Raw genomic sequence first — 23,603 nt, forward strand, 5'->3', positions numbered from 1 at the left:
AGAGATTTGTACCCTGTCTGTGGTCAGAGTAATTATACAGCAGAAGCAGGACTTGAACACAAGCACTCTGCTCCAGGGTCCACATTCTTTATGCATTACTTACTGCCGAGAGACAAAGTCTGAGAAGATTGCTTGAGAGCATCCTAAACACTAGCTATGAATTCTGAAGATAGATTACAGGCTGGTGTAGGCCCACACTGTTTAAAATTTTTATATTCCCACCACTTCACACAGAGCTTTCCACATAGCAGACAGACAGACAGACAGACACACACACACACACACACACACACACACACACACACAGTTTAGTGAAGAAATAAGTGAAGCTAAAGCAAACTGAAGAAAAAAGAATATACTAAATTTTAGGTTAAAGAATTGGTTCTAAAATGGTATCTCCATCCAATCACAGGACCTTTCTCTTTAATTCTTCACTTCATGATAGAGGCTGGCTTGGAGTTTCTGAATTAACAAGAAACACATCTACGTAGGCAGGAGGGGATGGGGCTCCCAACCAAGTCAAGGTTACTTGAAATGGGTCAGGTACAGCTGGGTGTGGTGGCTCACGACTATAATCCCAGCACTTTGGGAAGCCAAGGCTGGCAGATCACTTGAGCTCAGGAGTTCGAGACCAGCCTGGGCAAGATGGTAAAACCATCTCTACAAAAAAATATAAAAATTAGCCAAGAAGGCCGGGTGTGGTGGCTAACGCCTATAATTCCAGCACTTTGGGAGGCTGAGGCAGGTGGATCCCCTGAAGTCAGGAGTTCGAGACCAGCCTGGCCAACATGGAGAAACTCGGTCTCTACTAAAAAAAAAAAAAAAAAAAATATATATATATATATATATATATATATATATATATATATATATATATATATATATATATATGACAGCCAGGTGTGGTGGTGGGCACCTGTAATCCCAGCTACTTGGGAGGCTAAGGCAGGAGAATTGCTTGAACCCAGGAGATGGAGTTTGCAGTGAGCCAACATGGTGCCACTGCACTCCAGCCTCGGTGACAGAGTGAGACTCCATCTCAAGAAAAAAAAAAAAAAAAGATTAGCTAAGCATGGTGGCGCGTGCCTGTAGTTCCAGCTACTAGGGAGGCTGAGGTGAGAGGATGACTTGAGCCCAGGAAGTGGAGGTTGCAGTGAGCGGAGACTGTGCCACTGCACTACTCCAGCCTGGGCAGCAGAGCCAGACCCTGTCTCAAAAAAGAAAGGGAAAAGAAAAAGAAGTAGATCAGGTACATAGAAACAGAATGAGAGGAAAATTAAAGAAGTTAAGAATGTTAAGGGAATAAAACCAGGAGATCACACAACAGTAGAATCAAATACCACCAGACTATTACAAATAATAAGAATTAGTTCACAAATACTGTTGATAATTGTTCCATCCTTAGAGTTTAGGGCCTATTCCCAAATAGAGATAACAAACAGGTCACACTTTGGAATTGTTTAAAAAAGCAAGTCCTACTATACTCAATAAAAAATGCTTTGAAATGTACACGTGTTGATTTTGTGACAGAGTCTTAATCTTACTAGGTAGCTACAGCTCTGCTGGGAGCAATTAATTCAAAAAGCCACAGAAACTCCACAATGAGGCTAAAGGATCAGTAAAATAGCTGGAATACTTTCCTTGCTTCAGACAGCTGGATGCTGCTAATTTAGCTACTTTAAAGTGAGGGGAGGAAGGAAGAGGGAGTAATTTTGCCACACCTCTACTAATTTAGAGAAAAGAGAAACAATGAAGGCTGATAAACATGGCTACGTGTTTATCATGTAAACATACAGGTTACTTTCAGATTGCATATACTAAAGGGACTCTAACCAAAGAACTAGGGTAAGCAGAAATTGCTTTTTGTTTTGGTTTAGGTGTTTTTTGTTTGTTTGTTTGTTTGTTTGTTTGTTTTGAGACAGAGTCTCTCTCTGTCACACGGCTGCAGTGCAGTGATGTCATCCTAGGTCACTATGGCCTTAAACTGGGCTCAAGCAATCCTCCCTCTTCAACCTCCCAAGTAGCTAGGACTACAGATATGTGCCACCACAACTGGCTGTTTTTTTTCCTTGTTTTAACAGCTTTAGTGAGATATAATTCAAATACCATAAAGTTCTCCCATTTAAAGTATACAATTCAATGGTATTTAGTATATTATGTTTATACTCAGTACCAACACTCTAATCTAACTTAAGAACATTTTTGAGGCCAGGCGCAGTGGCTCATGCCTGTAATCCCAGCAATTTGGGAGGCCACGGCGGGCGGATCACCTGAGGTCGGGAGTTCGAGACCAGCCTGACCAATATGGAGAAACCCTGTCTCTACTAAAAACACAAAAAAATTAGCCAGGTGTGGTGGCACACGCCTGTAATCCCAGCTACTAGAGAGGCTGACGCAGGAGAATCGCTTGAACCGAGGAGGCGGAGGTTGCGATGAGCCAAGATCGTGCCATTGCACCCCAGCCTGGGTAACAAGAGCAAAACTCCATCTCGAAAAAAAAGAACATTTTCATCATCCCAAGCAATTTATCTTTTAAAGGATACTTAAATGATAGAGATAACACTCATAATCTAAAACAAAAACAAAAAGACATTTTTATTTTACTTTCTAAGAATTTTTGTGCAGATGAGGTCTTGCTATGTTGTCCAGGCTGATCTTGAACTCCTGTCCTCAAATGATCCTCCTGCCTCAGTCTCCCAATGTGCTGGAATTACAGGCGTGAGCCACCACACATGGCAAAAACCAAAATCTTTTTAATAAGATATGTTTCTGGTGTAAACTGACTCTGCCTACTGAAATGTATGCATTTTAATAATATAAGAAAGTTATCCTTTCCTTTCCTAACTTTTTTGGGAAGATCTCGCCAATTTCTGCAAGATGCAATCATTTGCCCTGCTTTCAACATCATCATTTTCCTATTCCTTTAAAAAAATGTTTTTGGCTGGCACGGCGGCTCACACCTGTAATACCAGCACTTTAGGAGGCTGAGGCAAGTGGATGATTTGAGGTTCGAAGTTCGAGACCAGCCTGGCCAACATGGTGAAACCCCGTATTTATTAAAAACACAAAAATTAGCCGGGCATGGTGGCAGGGGCCTGTAATCCCAGCTACTCGGGAGGCTGAGGCAAGAGGATTGCTGGAACCCCAGAGGTGGAGGTTGCAGTGAGCCAAGATCACACCACTGCACTCCAGCCTGGGCAACAGAGTGAGACTGTCTCAAAAAAACTAAAAAATGTATTTTTTTCCTGCAAGATAATTCCTGGTCATATCAATGGCCACTCACTCTCTTTCTCACCAAGCTCACCCCCTACCTTCAGCTTTCTGAAGAGGCACTGTATTACTGTGTTTACCTACAGTAAATTTCTATAGTTCCTTCCTGTGAGCTGCTCAATAAAATGTATGTAAGAGGCAACCGTACAAACAGAGGAAACGCCTTCTACTATCCATTCTACCCAAGCCAAATTAATTTTAAATGTGTAATTCTAAGAAGCCTTTTTTTAACCACTTTAGACTAAAGTAGATATGCTTCATATTTCCCCTCTTGATCTTCAATTTAATGCCCGGAAGCAAGGGTTTATAAGAACTCCTACATATAGGACTTTGCAGAGAAGCAAGCTGGAGACTTTAACTTGCTACAAGAAAACCTGGCTTATCCACCACCCAAATTTTGATAACCTCTAGGTCAAATTAAAAAAAAAAATTAGCACAGTGCTTCACACGTGCTCAATAAAACTGTTTGCTAAATCTTGTTGAATAATGATATAATAACAGCTAACATTCACGAAACACCTACCTTGTGTTATCTGCTAATCTATGAGTTTTCTTTTAATTCAGCAAATCCTCGCAAAACCCAGGAGTATTATATCATGACCATCACCGTCATCCACATTTTAAAAATAGGAAAACTGAAGCAAAGAGCAAGATTGATCAAAATGACAAAGATATGGGAAACTGAGGCTAAAAGCATGATTTACCAAATCACAGCCAGACTTCAAAACCAGACTATGGCTTCAGAGCTCACATTCTTAACCACTACTCTATGCTGCCCATCAGGAAATACTTAAGATAGCAAATGATTATCTTACAACACAGATGTCAGTCTATGCTCTAATGTCAAAGAAATAAAGAAACTCCATGGTCTACAGTGATATAATACCAAAGGGGTTTGAGGAGGGACTCACTGCTTCCATAAAAGACAGAAATATTGTGAGTATAGGCCGGGCGTGGTGGCTCACGCCTGTAATCCCAGCACTTTGGGAGGCCAAGATGGGTGGATCACGAGGTGAGGAGATCAAGACCATCCTGGCTAACACAGTGAAACCCCGTCTCTACTAAATATACAGAAAATTAGCCGGGCGAGGTGGCGGGCACCTGTAGTCCCAGCTACTCCGGAGGCTGAGACAGGAGAATGGCGTGAACCCAGGAGGCGGAGCTTGCACTGAGCCGAGATCGCGCCACTGCACTCCAGCCTAGGCGACTGAGCGAGACTCTGTCTCAAAAAAAGAAAAAAAAAGAAAGAAATATTGCGAGTATATAGTGACTACAGCAAGGCTCTTTAACAATAAGGAAGGAGAATGAAGAAGTATTCACAATCTGAAGTGGAAAAATGACAAAAAGCAACAAGTAAATGGATGAACTAAACCATCTGAGGAATTAAATTATGAAGAGTGTGTCTCTACAATTTAAAAAAAATGTTCTATTTCTGAGATCAGGTAAACATTCAGGTTTAATTATAATGACCACAGTGTAAACTCAGGTCTAGAATGTAACAGTATGCTACAAGTGATTTCGTTAGAGTGAAACTGGTCTGACAAAGAAGATGCTAACAGTAGGTTCTTGGTCTGCATTTAGTTTTTCTTTTTTAAAGACTGGTAAATAGCAAACGAAATTTATGTATGAAATACAACTAACAGAAGCTATTATGAAAACTCATCCAGAAGAAAAACATTCACCTGAGGATTACATTACTATAATCTATATGAATCTTTAATCTGCATGCATCTTACAGCCGAATGGTTCTCGGAGCACTACCTAAACCACAAAACTGGTTGGCCAGCCCTGAAGAAGAGCTTACTCATGCTGCTCGAACAGAAGTCGCATATGCCCTTCCCTGAGATCACAGCTCTACTGTCCAGACATGCATTCAAGAAACAACAAGCAAAATCATCTGGGCCATTCAAGACACCGGAATGAACAGAAATCAGATACAAACACACGTCTAGCTTTTTCAAATAATAGTGGATATACAAGGCATTTTAAACTGGCAATGGCAAAGACTATAATTTTCTGCTGAGGGATATTATCACAATTTTCCAACCTAGGTTTGAACCAAGGCTTATAAGAGCCCTCCTCCTTAATGCAACATCACACCCAGTACTTTGCTATGACATTCTATACAGCAGATTATAACCCTGACTCTCAGGCTTTTTGGAGTTAATCATTTCAAAAGAGAGTGAGTTGGACACATTAAATTAACATGGCAAACTAGAGTGGTTTCTTTCCATTCCCATCCCCATATGGTCTTCTTTTTCAAAGGAGGACAAACATTTGAAAAAATTATTTCAGAGTTCTAAAATGACTCTGACAAGCTACTATTAATAACTCTTGATCCTTTGGATCAATACGAAACACAGTTAGGTAAAAGGGAAAACAAAGAAGGCTAGATGTGCTAATGAAGGCATAAGAAAACAAATCAGTGACCCAGGCAATAAAAGCCTGAAAAATATTATCTTTATATATGATAGTGAATAAATCAAATTTTTCTGTAGTGTTACTTATAACTTTATTTTTATTTCAGTGTTTGAAGAAAAGGTAATGACAGTATTTGATAAGTTATAATCTGGATCCTATTTTACCAATTGTTTTTAAACATTTTTAGTGACTAAAATGATATCTCCGACTCTACCATGTGCTTTCACAAACCACAGGTATCTTCTGGTAGATTGCAAATGGATGTCCCTTCTTCTTTTAAAATGTACCTTAAAAGATATGGTTAAATTTTCCTCTTTCGTCAATAACTTTCAGAATACACATGCTATTCAAGAGTGCCAAATGAATCTGTGAAAAGGAAAATATACTACATGGAGGCTGATTAGACAAGGACAAAGCTAATCAAAATTGATTTGGCCAAGTTGAAGCCTGCTTCCTCTTTTTAGCTATAATGGGAGGAGTGAGAGGGAGTAGATTCTTTTTCAAGGGACATCTTAAGGTTGAAAGCTGGTATCACAAAACATACAGCATGATAAATATCTTAACTAAAAATTGCTAACAAGGGCCTTTGTGATTTCTTTTGTAAGACTACACAGCATAAGAAGTGTGATGAAGAAGAACGAGAGGAAGATGGAGGAGAAAACCAGTAAGATGACGGTTATCTGCAGAAAAGATTGTTTTTTCAAACACAATTTTAAAAGTCTTCCTTTCTAAACTCCACATCTGTCTGCCACTTTTCACCAGAGAATTAAGCAAAGGCATCACTCCTCAGTAGAAGAACATTTTTAGTTATCTGGAAATATAACTTCATGGACGTACAATAATTATATCTAGTAACTTTAAGAAAAACTCTAGCTGTGATCTGACATTAAACTGGGCTCCCAGGGTCTAAATGGGCTTTTGCCAAAAATTAACAATGGTGAAACAACTTACTTTTGCACTCTAGCCAAACAAAAATAATAAAACCATAGTCTCAATTTCTCTTTAATAAACTAAATTTAGATTACACCTTTAAAATAAGCTTTGACATAAATGGCTTTAAAATAACAAGAACATCTAACATTTGGGTCTTTTCCCAGTTAATTATTTGCTGGCATTAGACTCGAAATTCCTTGGCTTCACCTTAAGTTGACACTCCCAAGTGCTAATTAGGAAACTATATACATTATTAACCAGAGAATGTTGTGCTTAAAACATGCATATTACATATGTATCTTCTTATTAATGTTATTCCTTTCACTTCTCAAAATACCTCTTTAGAAAATAGAGCTCCTATTTCCATGAAGCAATTGGTGGCTCGTGAGGGAATTCCTGTCAAAATGCAATTAATAGAAAGGGGCCAAGATGACACAGGATACTTGTCTTGGAAACATCCTTAACATGAGTCAAATTTAATCTCACTGAAATAGTGGAGAGAAATGTTAATGACTGCAGATGTCACACATTTTACTCATACTAGGTGATTCCCAAAGAAAATGGCTAACTCATGTATGAACTAAACCACTACCAAGGAACCACACATGTCAGGGAGTACAAGGCCGAGACATGCCTTTCTCCAATACTATCTCTTCCAAAAAGCCACAGGACAGATGGGAAAATAAATGCAGGTAAACAAGGTAGACCTAATGATTTCCTAATTAGGAAGATGTGATCTTCTCATTAATTGTCAAGTTAATGGACCACAATAGCAGTTTCATAAATTGAGTCCAGTAATCCAAGCTTTGGTGTCTCTAGTCCACAGAATTCTCCTCATACTTCCAGACCCTTCATCCAGCCACAAAGTTGTCAGTTCTGCTTGATTTGTTTCAATACTGTACTCGACGACAGCTGTCGGAAACAGTACATTAGAACAGCTGCTATGACAGCTACAAGGGGCTTGGAAGTTTAATTAGGCTCATTGTGACATTGTGCATTTTTCTAAACACGGAATGATCCACAAAAATAAAGAAATTTTGAGTGGGTCTGAACAATGTTTACTTATTGGCACCACCAACTGGTTAACCTCAGTTTGAGTTATATCCTTGGTCTCATAATATCTTTGCTACCAGGCTGATAAGAGGTATAAAAAAATAAATAAACAGGAGGAGCAGTTAGATGCACAAGAAAAGGGGCATTAAAACGGAGAGGAAATGGTGAGGAAGTCACGTCAATAATCTCTTTCAAAGGCTGGCTGGTAGCCAAGGAGGATCCCGCAGTGTCTCAGGATTTACTTCCAAAGGAAATGTATTCAGAGGCCCTGAGCCTGGTGCCAACTGCAAACAAAACCACTCATTATGGTCACAGCCCCCTAGAGAAGGGGAGAATGGCTTACTCTCAGCATCCGTGCGGAGGAAGAAAGTGAGGAGCAGCAGCAGCAGCCTGGCTACGTGCACCATCCTGCAGCTTGGCAGCAGCGTGCGCGAGCAGCTTGGAATCACTGCCTCCGGAGCCGCAGCGAGTCTGTCCGATCTGAAATTTCAGCTGGAACACTTTCAGAGCCTGAAAGCGGGGAGGAAGAGAAAAGAAAAGGAAGAAAACACAAAAGTGCTTAGATTTCTTACTCTTTCCCCCCTGGTTCCATCACAATCACCATGACAGACACAATCCATTGTAAATACACAATAAATTGTAACTGTCATACTTTGTTTGTATTAGGAAGGAAATAACTTGGTTTGTAAAATGTAGGAGTCTTAGACTATCCGGGTTTGTGTTACGTGGGAGCTCTCGCATTCCCAATTTTAGGCTCTCCTAAAGCCAACCACCTTGACTTTCATTCTTTGCTTATGCCACCTTTTGGGCAAAGACCTAAAAAAGGAACTGTCACTTCTTATGAAACATTACGTAAATACATCAGTGCAAAGAAGCACACCAGTGCTATGAGAAAGATTTAAGAGAAGTTCCTCCATGCAGGATAAAAGTCTATTACTGACACAATAATGGAAGCTGCTTTTTTGGCATCAGTTGAAATGACAGGGCTAATTCAACTTCTCCAGGTAAATAGCAGAGGTTAGAATTTTTTACACTAGCATATTTGGCTTCTTCCCTGAAGACACATCAATGTTCAAGTCTAGTTTGGCATCAATAAGTCAAAACAATAGTTAGCATGAGCCTCTTTCATTTAACAGGATTTTTATATGCCTCCTGGGCAAGGGTTTAATTTCCTCAGTCTTCTCTGTAAAATCAAAAAGCCACAAACTATTTTTAGAGCACCTACTGTGTGCAAGGCATCAAGAGTGACAGCACAAGGTGTCTCAAGGCAGAAAGATGAGTCAGGTTCTATTATTTTTGTTTCCAGATTAGTAGGGAAAATAAAGCAGGTACACCAGATGATTAGTACAATTTAATAAGTGATTAGCGCCAGGAAGGAAAACCAGATAATGCTATAAAAGATAGGATCAAGACTGACATCATGGAAATAGTGTCTCAAACTAGGCCTTGAAGTTTAACCAGGATTTTAACAAGATGACGAAAAGGCATTCCAGGAATTCTATGCAAAGGCAGGGCAGTGGGAAAGGAACTTTGGAAAACCTGAGTTTCCTGGTTTGGTTGGAATAGGGCCTCCCAAAGGTCAGCATGCACGGGGCCCCCTGGAAGCCTTCTTAGAACAGATGCGTGAGTACTACCATCAGAGTTCGTGGGTCAGTAGGTCTGTGGTGGGGATCCAATAATTCAATAATTTGGTTTTTTTTTGTTTTTTTTTTTCTGTTTTTTTTTTTGAGACAGTCTCACTCTGTCACCCAGGCTGTAGTGCAGTGGTACAATCACGGCTCACTGCAAACGCTGCTTCCCAGGTTCAAGTGGTTCTCCTGTCTCAGCCACCCAAGTAGCTGAGATTACAGGTGCCCACCACCATGCCTGGGTAATTTTTGTACTTTTAGTAGAGGCAAGGTTTCACCATGTTAACCAAGCTGGTCTCAAACTCCTGGCATCAAGTGATCTGCCTGCCTCAGCCTCCCAAAGTGCTAGGATTACAGGGATGAGCCACCACTCTTGGCCTACCAAAGTGCTAGGATTACAGGACTGGGTCACATATTTGCATAAATTTGCATTTCTACATGTTCCTGGGTGATGCTGATGCTGCCAGTCCAGAGACCACACTTTGAGAACCTTCTGGTTGAAGTCATGGGAAACCATCTTCTATTAGGAAAACCAGAAGATGAAGCAAAAGAAAATGGTTCAGAGTCAGGCGCAGTGGCTTACGCCTGTAATTCCACCACTTTCGGAAGCCGAGGCAGGAGGATCACTTGAGGCCAGGAGTTCAAGACCAGCCTGGCCAACATGGTGAAACTCCGTCTCTACTAAAAACACAAAAAAATTAGCCAGGCGTGGTGGTGCATACCTGTAATCCCAGCTACTCGGGACGCTGAGGCAGGAGAATCACTTGAACCCAGGAGACAGAGGTTTTGGTGAGCCAAGGTCCTGCCACTGCACTCCAGTCTGGGTGACAAGTGAGACTTCGTCTCAAAAAAAAAAAAAAAAAAGAAGATTCAGACTTTAAAAAAAAATAGGTCACAGAGAGCCTTGGATGGCGATCTAAGTCAAATGGCCTTTATTCAGCAAACTACAAAAAGAGCCATTTAATGTTTTAGAGCAGAGGAACCATGGAACCAGGCTTTGGAAAGATTAACTGACAACTGGATCAGGGATGATTTAGAGAATGCTATTAGGCCACAGCAAGAGTTTCAGGTGAGAAGTGACACAGGACTTAAGAGTAATGGTGGTACTGGTGGGAATTAGGAAGGGAGGCAATGACTGGCTCCAAGCAATCATTTGAAGTATAATTCTTCACGTGTTAAATAATTGTACCTATAGAACCCTCAATAAATCTAGCACAGCCTCTTATGCAGAGTACACTCTTAATGAAAAATTTAAAAATAAAGAGAGTAGATCACATCCTACTGCATCCTCTATTACTGCAGAAAATATCTGAAAATGACTATCAGTATTCATTTGCAAAATGAAACTGCATACCTTTAATTTTTAAAACTGAAATATTTGAAACATATACAAAATTTTTGACAGGAAATACTAGAGATATCCAGCAATAACCTAATCCACTAAAATAACTTGTACTTTAAAAAGAATTATAATGCAGATACCATAGTATGTCATTTCTGAAACTCAGCTTAAGCATGAGAACAAAAATTGTTTTAAAGATATTACCTTTTTTATTAGTATTCATAAGCGGTTTGAATGCAGGAAAGATAAAACTAAAAAGGAGAGGAATCACTCTACCATTCTATTAGATAGTCTCCTTTTTTTTTTTTTAAACAGTGGGTTGGCATGAAGAAGCAAGTGGTACAGTGGAAAACTTCTTGAATCCAGAAGCTGGCCAGCTGTTCCAAATCAGCTATTGTTATCAATCGCCTCTGAAAATCAACTTATCAAGCAGTTCACAGCTATCAGATGTTAAAAATCTCAAAAGTTCATTGGAAAAGTGCTAAAGGAATCAGCTCTCCCCTCCCCATTCCCCTCCTCCCGCTTTCACTGCTCCCATCCTCATGCCAGCATTTCAAATGACAGCAAAGTCCAGGAGACATCAGTCCTGTCGGACTCAATTTGTGTCTGTGCAAGCGTATCAGAGCCAACTGCTACATAATGACTCCGTGTGATCACAGAGATGGAGACCTATGAATGCTCACTCAGGGAAGAAGTGATTTGGCTTTTCCTCCTACTCAGCTGAAGTGCATAAGAAGACCAAATTTTTTCAAATGAACCTTCAAATGTTACTCCTGGACTAGCAACAGTGATAGGATCTAGCACTCTAGAAACGAATGCAGGTATAAACATACATATTTATCCTTAAATGGGTTGTGCCCAAAGGAGGTCAGAGGTGTGAAGATGAAACGTATTCTAAATGTTCATTCCAGCTAATCTCCATTCCTTATCTTGTTTATTACACAGCAACATTGCCAAAAGGGAAATGCTAGCTGCCTATCAGTAAGGTGGAATTTAAATTTAGGTACAAAAATTGGAAATGGATTCTTAAGAAAATAATTAAACCAAAAATAAACAGGATAAAAGAATATTATAAGGAGTTTCCATTAATCTATAGTAAGGCTTGCTAAGTACTCTGAAAAAAAAAAAGAGCAAGGAGGTTCAGTGATATTAAAAGTACCACGTTTTACCTTACTTCCATCACACATTATCCAGCATTTGTCCAATAGCCTCAGCAGAAGCCAACCCTTTGATTTTTATATGTTCTGCTCCTTCTTTCTTGAGACAGAGTCTCACTCTCTGTCAAGCAGGCTGGAGTGCAGTGGCACAATCTCAGCTCTCTGCTACCTCCGCCTCCTCAGTTCAAGCGATTCTCCTGCCTCAGCCTCCTGAGTGGCTGGGATTACAGGTGTGCGCCACCACGCCTGGCTAATTTTTCTATTTTTAGTAGAGGCAGGGCTTCACCATATTGGTCAGGCTGATCTTGAACTCCTGACCTTGTGATCCGCTCGCCTCGGCCTCCCAACGTGCTGGGATTATAGATGTGAGCCACTGCACCCGGCTCTCTGTCTTTCATCAGCAGGGACATGCAGATAGAACTCAACCATGTATATGAATCTAAAATACAATTTCAAAAAATTTATAACTCCCCGGTTTCTTATTTCTCATACCACAAAGATCTTATGAAACAATAATTTTGCTGAATTCCAATTAACTGAATTGTATATCAGCTTCTGTATATCTGTACATGGGTGGTTGGAGAAACTAACAGTTCAGAGGGCAATACGATGCATGTAATATAATTTGAAATGGAACAACAAAGAGCGCACTTGCCTAAAAGCCTTAACAAATCACGGTTTCAAGCGATCACATAAAGTGACACCTATCCAACTCTTTTTCTTCAACTTACCATTGTAACACTTTTCTGTAATAAGTATATTCATATTCAAACCAATATGAATGTTGAAGGATTTGTACTATTTTTTCAGCTTTCTATACTGTTATTTGTGTCTAAATACTGTATTAAAATTTTCTTTAAAAAAAGACAAACTAGGGCCTAGAGTCCCTTAGAAAATGGCAGATTATAGGCTTTGTATGGGAAATGTAGAAAATTAGTCAACATCTTGCCATACCAGAAGCAAGGAAGTTGTCGGAACTACTAGGCTATATTAAAAAAAAAAAATCCAAGATGATGAGGTGCCTATCAGCTAAATGTAGGGAAATCTGAGTGACAAAAAGAATAATAACTGCAAAGAACTACAACAAATCACATTATAATCTATGAGTTCATAATTTTAAAAATTTCACTGGTTACTCTAGGAGAAAGTTAGAGAACCAAATCATTACTCTGAAAACGGGAACAGAAAAGGAAAGAATTAAGCATTAAAAAAACAAAAACAAAAACTACTGCTGTCACTTAAAACTAGGTATCATTGTTTATCTCTGAACATTTTTCATTTTTCTATCATAACAAACCCATCCTCTCAAGTCTAGACATCTCAGAAGCAATATCATAATGATATTTAACCTGAACATACATGCATAAAAGATATGCATTAAGTTGGGGGATGGTATGGGAAGGAGTATGTCCCCAAATTACTTCTTTTTATCTACCTCCCAAACCAGGCCTCTGTAAATCAGCTGAATGTGGCTTCTAATTATTTAAGAGAAGGATCCATTTGTACAAACGATGTGCTGCTAGGACTCTCCAATTTGTAAAACAGACAAAAGCAGGGCTGCTCTGGCTGAAGCCTGAAGGAGGGGAGGGGCCTGGAGCCTACAGCAAACCTGACAGAGGCTTCAGGGGGCACCCCAGGAATTCCCTAGGCCCTCAGTGTCCAGCTACAACACAAGTACATGAAAAGAGAAGAGAACCCAAAAGCAAACTTTCAACATTTCACTGACTTGTGGATTTTCCAAGAGAAGGGAGCCATCTAAATATTTTAACGTGGTATAAAACAAGAATCTTCCAGTACTGACAGATATAACTTTCTTCAGGATAGAAATGTTTTTTTATCTGCATTGACTAATAATTGACCACTTTAAACGTAGCTAGTGCGACTGAGGAAGTAAAGTTTTTATCTTATTAAAGTTCAGTTTAAATTTACACAGCCACATGTGGCTAGTGGCTACCCTATTGGACAGCACAGACTACAACTACAGGTTTACAGCACTGAACAGAAAGTCAGTGTTTTTTGGAGGTGTAGACTGAAACAATGAGGTGAGAATTCTGAGTTCTCGTAGTCCTTGGCTTCCCAATAACCAGACACTAAAGATTCACTGTGTTATGTGAGGATACCCATTTAAGCTTTGGATCACTCACTAACTGATATGGTTTGACTGTGTCCCCACCCAAATCTCATCTTGAATTCTCATGTGTTATGGGAGGGACCCAGTGGGAGATAACTGAATTATAGGGGCAGGGCTTTCCTGTGCTGTTCCCATGATAGTGAATAAGTCTCATGAGATCTGATGATTACGTAAGGGGGAGTTTCCGGGCACAAGCTCTTTTCTCTTGTCTGCTGCCATGTGAGATGTGACTTTCACCCTCCACCATGATTGTGAGGCGTCCCCAGCCATGTGGAACTGTAAGTCCATTAAACCTTTTTTTCTTCCCAGTGTCTCAGGTATGTCTTTATCAACAGTGTGAAAGCAGACTAATACACTAACCCACCCATGTCCCTCATCCTGCCAAATAAAAGATTTCATTTTTTTTAAATTATTTCATAGAATGTAAAGGGAAGATCAGTCTATGACCAAACTACCCTGAACACGCCCAATCTCATCTGATCAAGAATGCAAAGGGAAGATCAATAAGTGGTTGAGTATATAACTGGAAAATATCCAAGTAGAAATAGTGTTAACGAATGTTCCTTTAATATTAAAGGAAAAATTATGTTAAAGATGGCGTTTCATACTTCATTGTATTTCTCACTACTTCTGGCAGCAAAGAACTGCCACATTCTATAGACATAAAGGACAAGCATACTTCTAAACATCCTCATGAAATAATTTGTATAGTTGTATAGTTTTTATAAAATGGCCACATTCGATTAATATTAGCGAGGGATACGGGAAACACATTCTTAAATGTATGCAGGGCACCAAAAGCTTTAATGTCAATTACGGAAAATATTACTGAGAAAAGGGGCCATTGAACAAGGTTATTGAATTTAATAAAACTATGAAAAACAACCACAAACCAAGCACCTCTGAATAAAATAGTCAAACCTAAAAATATAAGAAATTATTTGTATGAAACTTGTAACACCTCAAAATTATACTCCACATAATCAGCACATCAAATCAAAAACTCCAAATTTTTCTGTTTTGCCCTAAACATGTTTTTATGACAATCAGTTAGGAAAAACAACAAGAGGTAGTTTAAGAGCTATTACATATAAACACAAAGTGATAATTCAATCATCTCATTTTTGGCTTAGGCTATGACTTAATATGAAGACCCCAGGGGACTATAAGCACACAATGATTCTTTGAAGAAATCAACTGAATTTTAAGAATACCCGAAGAGTAAAACAATTCCTATCAATATAGACACTTAAAAGATCCCTTATATGCCTAACTCTAATACACAGAGAAAAAAAAGTCAATAGCTATTATTCTGAGCTTTTTCTATAGTTTATGATTCACTTTCCAAATTATTATTGATGCATCCCTGTAAGATATCAAGTGGCTTTACATTGGAAGCACATATAAATATTAGTTATTTTCAAGGATGGCAAAATGACATTATTAACTTTGATTGTTTCTTTCTCCTTTGGGAAGAAAAAAATGAGGTATGCCGTGAGAAATGAACAGATAGAAAGGAAAAAAAAACCTCATCTCCCTTTGTATCTATTGTTCCCCTACAAATAGAACTATAATTCTGATTTGAAAAGAAGGATAGCTTTAGAAAAAGAATCTAAAATTTCTTTCAGTTATTACTGCATGTCATAGCTTCTATCTAGTTTTATGTGATGCCAGTAGAAACTGGCAATGAAACGGTTAAAATACAAGTCTATTCAACATGCCGTTGGAACTCTAATATTTGTTCCTTTCATCCAAAAAGACACTGTACAAGTGAGAAACAGATCTTTCTCGCAAAGTGTAGATAGATATGCAATCCAGCCACTTTCCACTCAAACAGAACATGGATTCTATTATTTTAATCTCAGGCATTTCTTTTTTTTTTTTTTTTTTTTTTTTTTTTTTTTTTTGAGATGAAGTCTCATTCTGTTGCCCAAGCTGGAGTGCAGTGGTGTGATCTCGGCTCACTGCAACCCCCAACCCCCACTTCCCAGGTTCAAGCGATTCTCCTGCCTCAGCCTCCTGAGTAGCTGGGACTACAGGCACACATCACCATGCCAAGCTAATTGTTGTATTTTTAGTAGAGACAGGATTTCACTATATTGGCCAGGCTGGTGTCAAACTCCTGATGTCGTGAGTGGCCCATCTCAGCCTCCCAAAGTGCTGGGATTACAGGCGTGAGCCACCGCGCCTGACCGGGCATTTCTTTTTTTATGTTAAATAATTTATTAGGATATTCTGTTCAACCAATCAAAAGAAGTAATTAATATGCCCTTGATTAAGAGGTCTAGACAAGACATTTTCATGCTAGGAGTATCACCATAAGCCTAATTTATCATGAAGCGATTATGCACCTGTTCCAAAATTTCATATTATTCCCTATATTTCACTTTTAATAACCTATATACATCAAGCTATAAGACATTAGTTATGACCAATAAACTAATATGTCAGTCAAGCTTTAAAATTTCCTTGATGACAGACTGCACACATTACAATAGGATCTTATCCTAATAGTAATGTATGATTTGTTGTTTTATTTTAAATTGATATATAAAACTGTATATATTATGCACAACATGATGTTTGAAGTATATATAGTATACATTGAGGAATGACTAAATTTAGCTAATTGACATATGCATTACCTCATATAGTTATCATTTTTATAATGAGAACATTTTACATGATCTGTCTTGGCATTTTTCAAGAATACATGGATATGAAACTATCATTTCTACATCAATATAACTGATTTTGTCATCTTTAAAAATCAAAACAGGTTTTCTTAATGAATGCAAAATATCTGTAAAATACATTTACTTTTCAAATGTTATGGGTAATAGGTTTTATTTATTATTGTATCTATTTTATTTGTTTTAGCCCTATCAATACATAGTACGGAAAAGTCTGGCAATACATATTTTACTTCTTTACTATGAAAAGCAATTTTAAAAATTCACTTTGAGGAGAATTTACCACTCTCTAAAGGGAATAATCTACATTGATCTCTTTTCCTTAGGATTATTTTAAGAATAAAGTGAAGGACCTTTTAATTGTTTTTTAAATAGTTCATTATGATAGCTCAAAGAAAACTAATTTAGCGCCTCGCAGGTGTAATATTTATTGGTAGCTCCATCCTCAGGGTGATCAAATCTCTGGGCCAGCTGTAAAAGTGACTTTGCCCTCTCCCTCAGGGAATGCCTAGAGACAATTTTTGTTGTCACAGCGCAAGAAGGGTGACCCATGGCACCTAAGGGTAGAGGCCACAGATACTGCCAAATACCCTATAACACACAGAACAACTACCTGCCCCCCAACAAGAAATTATCCCATTCAGAATGTCAGCAATGCCAAAGGTGGGAAACCCTGTCCTAGAACAGCTCATTGGCACAGAGGAAAAATTCCAAATTAAAAAAAAAAGGGGGGGGGGACTTTTAAGACATAATCTAATACATTGCTTTCTAAACCCACCAATTTTAGGTGTTTTCATACATAAACTCAAAACAGATTTGAATTTCTGGGCATGGGAATATGGATGACACCCAAATTTCCCTTTTTGTCCTAAGTTAGAACCAAAGTTGGCTTGCCTTAAAAGTTTAGTTCACAGGCTTAGGCAGCATAAATATTGTCACCAATTAAAAGAATGAAGCTGTTAAATGGAACAGACATTGCACTGATGTCAGTCAGTGAATAGATATGGTTCCCATGTCTCATGATGGGAGCTTAGCTCTTCTCTAAGGGAACAGTCTCAGGAAAGAAATACTCAGTTTCAAGGACTGTTTTCTCATATCACTGCTAGCAATAGAGATCAATAGTGGAACGGTGAAAGGCTGTCATAAATGGCTAAGGAAAGTGGAATTAAAGAATATTCTCTTCATACCTCTCTCACCTTATACACAAATCGACTGAAGATGAATCAAAGAGTTATATCTATGACCCAAAACCGTAACAATTCTAGAAGATAACATCAGAAAAACCCTTCTAGACATCGGCTTAGGCAAAGACTTCATGACCAAGAACCCAATAGCAAATGCAACAAAAACAAACATTAAATAGATAGGACTTAATTCAACTAAAAAAGCTTCTGCACAGCAAAAAATAACAATAATAATAATAATAATAATAATAATAATAATATCAACAGAGTTAACAGACAACCTACAGAGTGGGAGAAAATCTTCAAAATCCATACATCGACATAGGACTAATATCCAGAATCTACAAAGAACTCAAACTCAAATCAGCAAGAAAAAAAAAATCACATCCAAAAGTGGGCTAAGGATATGAACAGACAATTCTCAAAAAAGATATACAAATGGCCAACAAGCATATGGAAAAACGCTCACAAAATGCTCCCTGATCACTAATGATCAGAGAAATGCAAATCAAAACCACAATGCAATACCACCTCGGTCCTGCAACAATGGTCATAATCGAAAAAATATTTTAAAAAATAGATGTTGGTGTAGATGTGGTGAAAAGGGAACACTTCTACACTGTTGACAAGAATGTAAACTAGTAAAACCGCTATGGAAAACGGTGTGAAGATTCCTTAAAGAACTGAAAGTAGATCTATCATTTGATCCAGCAATCCCACTACTAAGTATCTACCTAGAAGAAAAGAAGTCATTATCCGAAAAGATACTTGCACACGCATGTATACAGCAGCACAATTTGCAACTGCAAAAATATGGAACCAGCCCAAATGCCCATCAATCAACGAGTGGATAAAGAAAATGCAGTATACTTATACCACGGAATATGACTAAGCCATAAAAAGGAATGAAATAATGGCATTTGCAGCAACACAGATGGAATTGGAGACTATTATTCTAAGTGAAGTAGCTCAGGAATGGAAAACCAAACATTGCATGTTCTCCCTCATAAGGAGGAGCTAAGCTATGAGGATGCAAAGGCATAAAAATGATATAATGGACTTTGGGGACTCAAGGGAAAGGCTGGCAGCAGGGTGAGGGATAAAAGATTACACATTGGGTGCAGTGTACACTGCTTGGGCGATGGGTGCACCAAAATCTCAGAAATCACCGCTAGAGAACTTATGCACATAACCAAACACCATCTGTTCCTCAAAAACCTATTGAAATAAAAAATAAATTTTAAAGGCAGAACATTATAATCCCAACGTTGTCCTCATGACTATTCCCACATCTCTCTAAGATACTATTAACAATTTACATAGTAGAGAAAATAGGTTGTGTGGGGAAACTAAATAAATGACTATCAAACCAAACAGAAACATAAAATCTAAAGAAAGGTAAAGAGGACAAATATTAACCATATATATATCCAAAATACACTCTTCACTTCTCTCACTCTGTACATATATTTCATTCAGTTATATTGCACTCATCTTTACTGTTAGTGCCCTCTTCACATCTACTCCCTCCTTCAATGAAACCACAGACTGATAAAAATCAGAAGAAAAAAATAACATCATTTTGGGCAACCCTCTCATTTAACAGACAATGCATGAAGTACAAGGACATAATGGAATTAATAACCTCAAAATGCACAAGTGAGTAGTCTCAGAGGAGGGCTTAGAACCAATTTTCTTTCTTCTATAGCATGGTGTATCTACTTTTACTATCTCTGACTTACTGCAACAGAAATAGATAGCTGAGGCGATGTCATGATTAATTCCAAAGTGATCAACATAAAGAAAAAGTCCCTCCTTTAATTAGCAAAGAGACAATATTACAATGGGCATAAACGAAAGGGGAAGGCAACCTTAAAGGCGGGGTATAGGAAGGCAGGATGAAAGAATCTCACTGAATGAAGGTATTTGGCAGTCACTGTCCTAGACCAATAAATAATTCACAAATGAAAGTTTATCCTATGAGTCAAAAATTTTCTAAAGGGTCAATCTTTAACTTGGTACCTGTTATTATGTACCTGTGTATCTTAGAGTAAAAGTTTATAGACGTGCTTGGAAGGAAAAATGATTAACCAGTAATAGATTTTCTAAATTCTCACGTTTGTAATTGAACGAATAACATGCAGACACATGTTTATACCACCTTAAGGTATACCTATTTTGCATATTACCATCAAGTTCTATTTTATGGAGTTTCTCTCTCTCTCTCTCTCTCTCTCTCTCTTTTAGATAGGGTCTTGTTCTGTCGCCCAGGCTGGAGTGCAGTGGCACAATCACAGGTCACTGCAGCCTGGAAATCCTGGGCTCAAGCTATCCTCCCGCCTCTACCCCCAGAGTATCCGGGAATACTGGCAAGTGCCACCACATTTGGTTTTTCAATTTTTATTGGGAAGGGGTCTTGCTATGTTGCCCAGACTGGTCTTGAACTCCTGGACTCAAAACAATCCTCCCAAACTGGCCTCCCAAGGTGGTGGAATTACAGGCATGAGCCACCATGCCCAATCGATTTTTTTTTTTTCTCTGTAAAATTTAAATGTCAGCAAGGACATATGTTGAGTAATTGTGACAAGGTGGGAACGGGTTAGATTCTGAATTCACAGAGTTATACAGTCTGGTTATCTCAGTGGAGAGACAACAGCCTGAGTGCACTTTATTACGAAGTTGCTGAGGGCAACATGGCCATATTGAAAGAAGAAATGAAGATACACAATGGTTATTTTTCAAAAGAAGTTGGCGTTACAAAGTGATTTGATAATAAAGTACGAAAATTTCCTGCAGCAATAAAAGCACTATGCATTTCCCATACCAAGATGTATCAGAGTGGCAGCGAAAAAAATATTATTCCAATACTCACTCCTTTAGAAAATATATTTGAGACCTCTGGAAAGACTTTTTAAAGTACTGTCATTTTTATTGTACTTCTATAAAATACTGAAACAAAATACACAATATGGATATCAAAAAGGGAGTTTAAAGTCATTAAAAGCCTGCTAGCAAACTAGCTGTAGTAACTTTCTCAACACCAAACTTTCTAGAAACCAATTGTTATCTTAAATGAACAGCCCATTAAACTAAAAGAAAAGAAAATGTTGAATAAAAACATCGATCAAACTTCTCTGCTGGGTCAGGCACGATGCCTCATGCCTGTAATCCCAGTGCTTTCAGAGGCTGAGGCAGGAGGATCACTTGAGGTCAAGAGTTCAAGACCAGCCTGGGCAACATAACAAGACCCCATCTCTAAAAACAAACAAACAAAATTTATCTGTTGGATATGGGTCTCACATAGGCCTTTTGAAACCCAGATATTTATATTTCAAAGTAGAGGAGTAGTCATTCTAAAATGAGTAGGAATAGGTTCAGGAAGCAAGCCAGGAGTGTGGCTGGCAAAGATGTGCAAGGATGGGTGGAAGAGAAGTGCAGGGAATGCCTAATTGTTATCTGGTGCAGGATCAAGCCCCAAATTAAAATGCCATCTTTTTAAGAATTTCTCTATCTTTTGTGGTGTACCTAACAATGTTTCCATCACAAACTGAATATAGACTGACCCTTTCCTTTATTATGTTTCCTTTAATATTTTTAAATCATAGGTTTAATCATGAATATTTATATTGCCTTGTTTAAAAAAATTGAACAGCCACACTTTAGAAAATGTGCTTACTTCACTAATAGCCCTCACTCAGGCACTAGAATTAGGAAAAGGAAAAAGGATAAATATATATACAGGCTCTAAGTATGCTTACCTAGTCCTCCATTCCCATACAACAATATGGAAAGAAAGGGAATTCCTAACTTCCGAGGAAACACCTATCAAACATCAGGAAGCCATTAGGATATTACTATTGGCTGTACAGAAACCTAAAGAGGTGGCAGTCTTACACTGCAGGGGTCACCAGAAAAAGAAGGAAAGGGAAATAAAAAGGAACCGCCAAGCAGATATTAAAGCCAAAAGAGCCACAAGGCAGGACCCTCCCTTAGAAATGCTTACAGAAGGACACTTAGTATGGGGTAATCCCTTCCAGGAAACCAAGCCCCAGTACTCAGAAGAAGAAATAGAATGAAGGACCTCACGAGGACGTAGTTTCCTCCCCTCAGGATGGCTAGCCACCGAAGAAGGAAAAATACTTTTGCCTGCAGCTAACCAATGGAAATTACTTAAAACCCTTCACCAAACCTTTCACTTAGGCATTGATAGCACCCATCAGATGGCCAAATTATTATTTACTAGACCAGGCCTTTTCAAAACTATCAAGCAGATAGTCAGGGCCTGTAAAGTGTGCCAAAGAAGTAATCCCCTGCACTGCAGGCCATACATTTCAATCCCTGTATCTTTAACCTCCTTGTTAAGTGTGTCTCTTCCAGAATCGAAGCTGTAATATATATGGTTCTTCAAATGGAGCCACAGATGCAGTCCATGACTAAGATCTACCGCGGACCCCTGGACCGGCCTGCTAGCCCATGCTCCGATGTTAACGACATTGAAGGCACCCCTCCTGAGGAAATCTCAACTGCACAACAACTACTATGCCCCAATTCAGCAGGAAGCAGTTAGAGCGGTTGTCAGCCAACCTCCCCAACAGCACTTGGGTTTTCCTGTTGAGAGCGGGGACTGAGAGACAGGACTAGCTGGATTTCCTAGGCGGAATAAGAATCCCTAAGCCTAGCTGGGAAGGTGACTGCATCCACCTTTAAACACGGGGCTTGCAACTTAGCTCACACCCAACCAATCAGAGAGCTCACTAAAATGCTAATTAGGCAAAAACAGGAGGTAAAGAAATAGCCAATCATCTATTGCCTGAGAGCACAGCAGGAGGGACAAGGATCAGGATATAAACCCAGGCATTCGAGCCGGCAACAGCAACCCCCTTTGGGTCCCCTCCCTTTGTATGGGAGCTCTGTTTTCATTCTATTTCACTCTATTAAATCCTGCAACTGCAAAAAAAAAAAAAAAAAAGAAAAAGAAAAAGAAAAAGAAAATGCGCTTACTTCTTCCCGTAATTGTCACTAGGGTCAAAACTATTCATTGCATAAATCTTCATCACTGGCCAGGCGTGGTGGCTTATGCATGTAATCCCAACATTTTGAACAGCCAAGGCAGACGGATCACCTGACGTCAGGAGTTCAAGACCAGCCTGACCAACATGGAGAAATCCCATCTCTACTAAAAATACAAGATTAGCCAGGCATGGTGGCGCATGCCTGTAATCCCAGCTACTCGGGAGGCTGAGGTGTGAGAATCGCTTGAACCCAGGAGCGGGGGTTGTGGTAAGCCAAGATTGCGCCAGTGCACTCCAGCCTGGGTAATAAGAGCAAAACTCCATCATAAAAAAAGAAAATTCATCATTTTCTAACTTGCACTTTAGATTGGTCCATACACTCCATCACACAAATTTAGTGCTTATTTCAACACACATGTGAAAATATGTATTTATATATTATATACATTTACTATGCTACTAATGAACTAAATACATTTTCAAACACAGAATTAGAAATTTTAAAAATAAGAAAAAAAAAGTAGAAGTTCTATAATTCTTTTCCTAGGCCATATAAATAATTAGGGGCCCATTGCCCTAGATATAGTTGGGATTTTTTGTTTTTGTTCTTTGTGTTGAGACAGAGTCTCGCTCTGTCGCCCAGGCTGGAGTGCAGTGGCACCATCTCAGCTCCCAGCAATTTCCGCCTCCGGGTTCAAGCAATTCTACATTCTCGTGTCTCATCTCCCTGAGCAGCTGGGATTACAGGCAGGTACCACCATGCCCAGCTAATTTTTGTG

The 23,603-nt window shown here is 38.9% G+C and overlaps 1 protein-coding gene across 55 annotated transcripts in view; it reads right to left on the reverse strand.

Moving 5' to 3' along the window:
• The window catches only part of PTPRD (protein tyrosine phosphatase receptor type D), a 2,298,757-nt gene that overhangs the window by 411,514 nt on the left and 1,863,640 nt on the right, over positions 1-23,603 (reverse strand). For all 55 annotated transcript variants that reach the window (NM_002839.4, XM_017014961.3, XM_006716827.5 and 52 more), the window contains one exon: positions 8,021-8,187. In NM_002839.4, coding sequence (NP_002830.1) covers positions 8,021-8,084 — 64 coding nt within the window. In that variant the 5' untranslated portion in view covers positions 8,085-8,187. Of the gene's footprint in view, positions 1-8,020; positions 8,188-23,603 lie in introns of those variants that run through there.

Source organism: Homo sapiens, chromosome 9, assembly GCF_000001405.40.
Source record: "Homo sapiens chromosome 9, GRCh38.p14 Primary Assembly".
Classification (NCBI taxonomy): domain Eukaryota; kingdom Metazoa; phylum Chordata; class Mammalia; order Primates; family Hominidae; genus Homo; species Homo sapiens.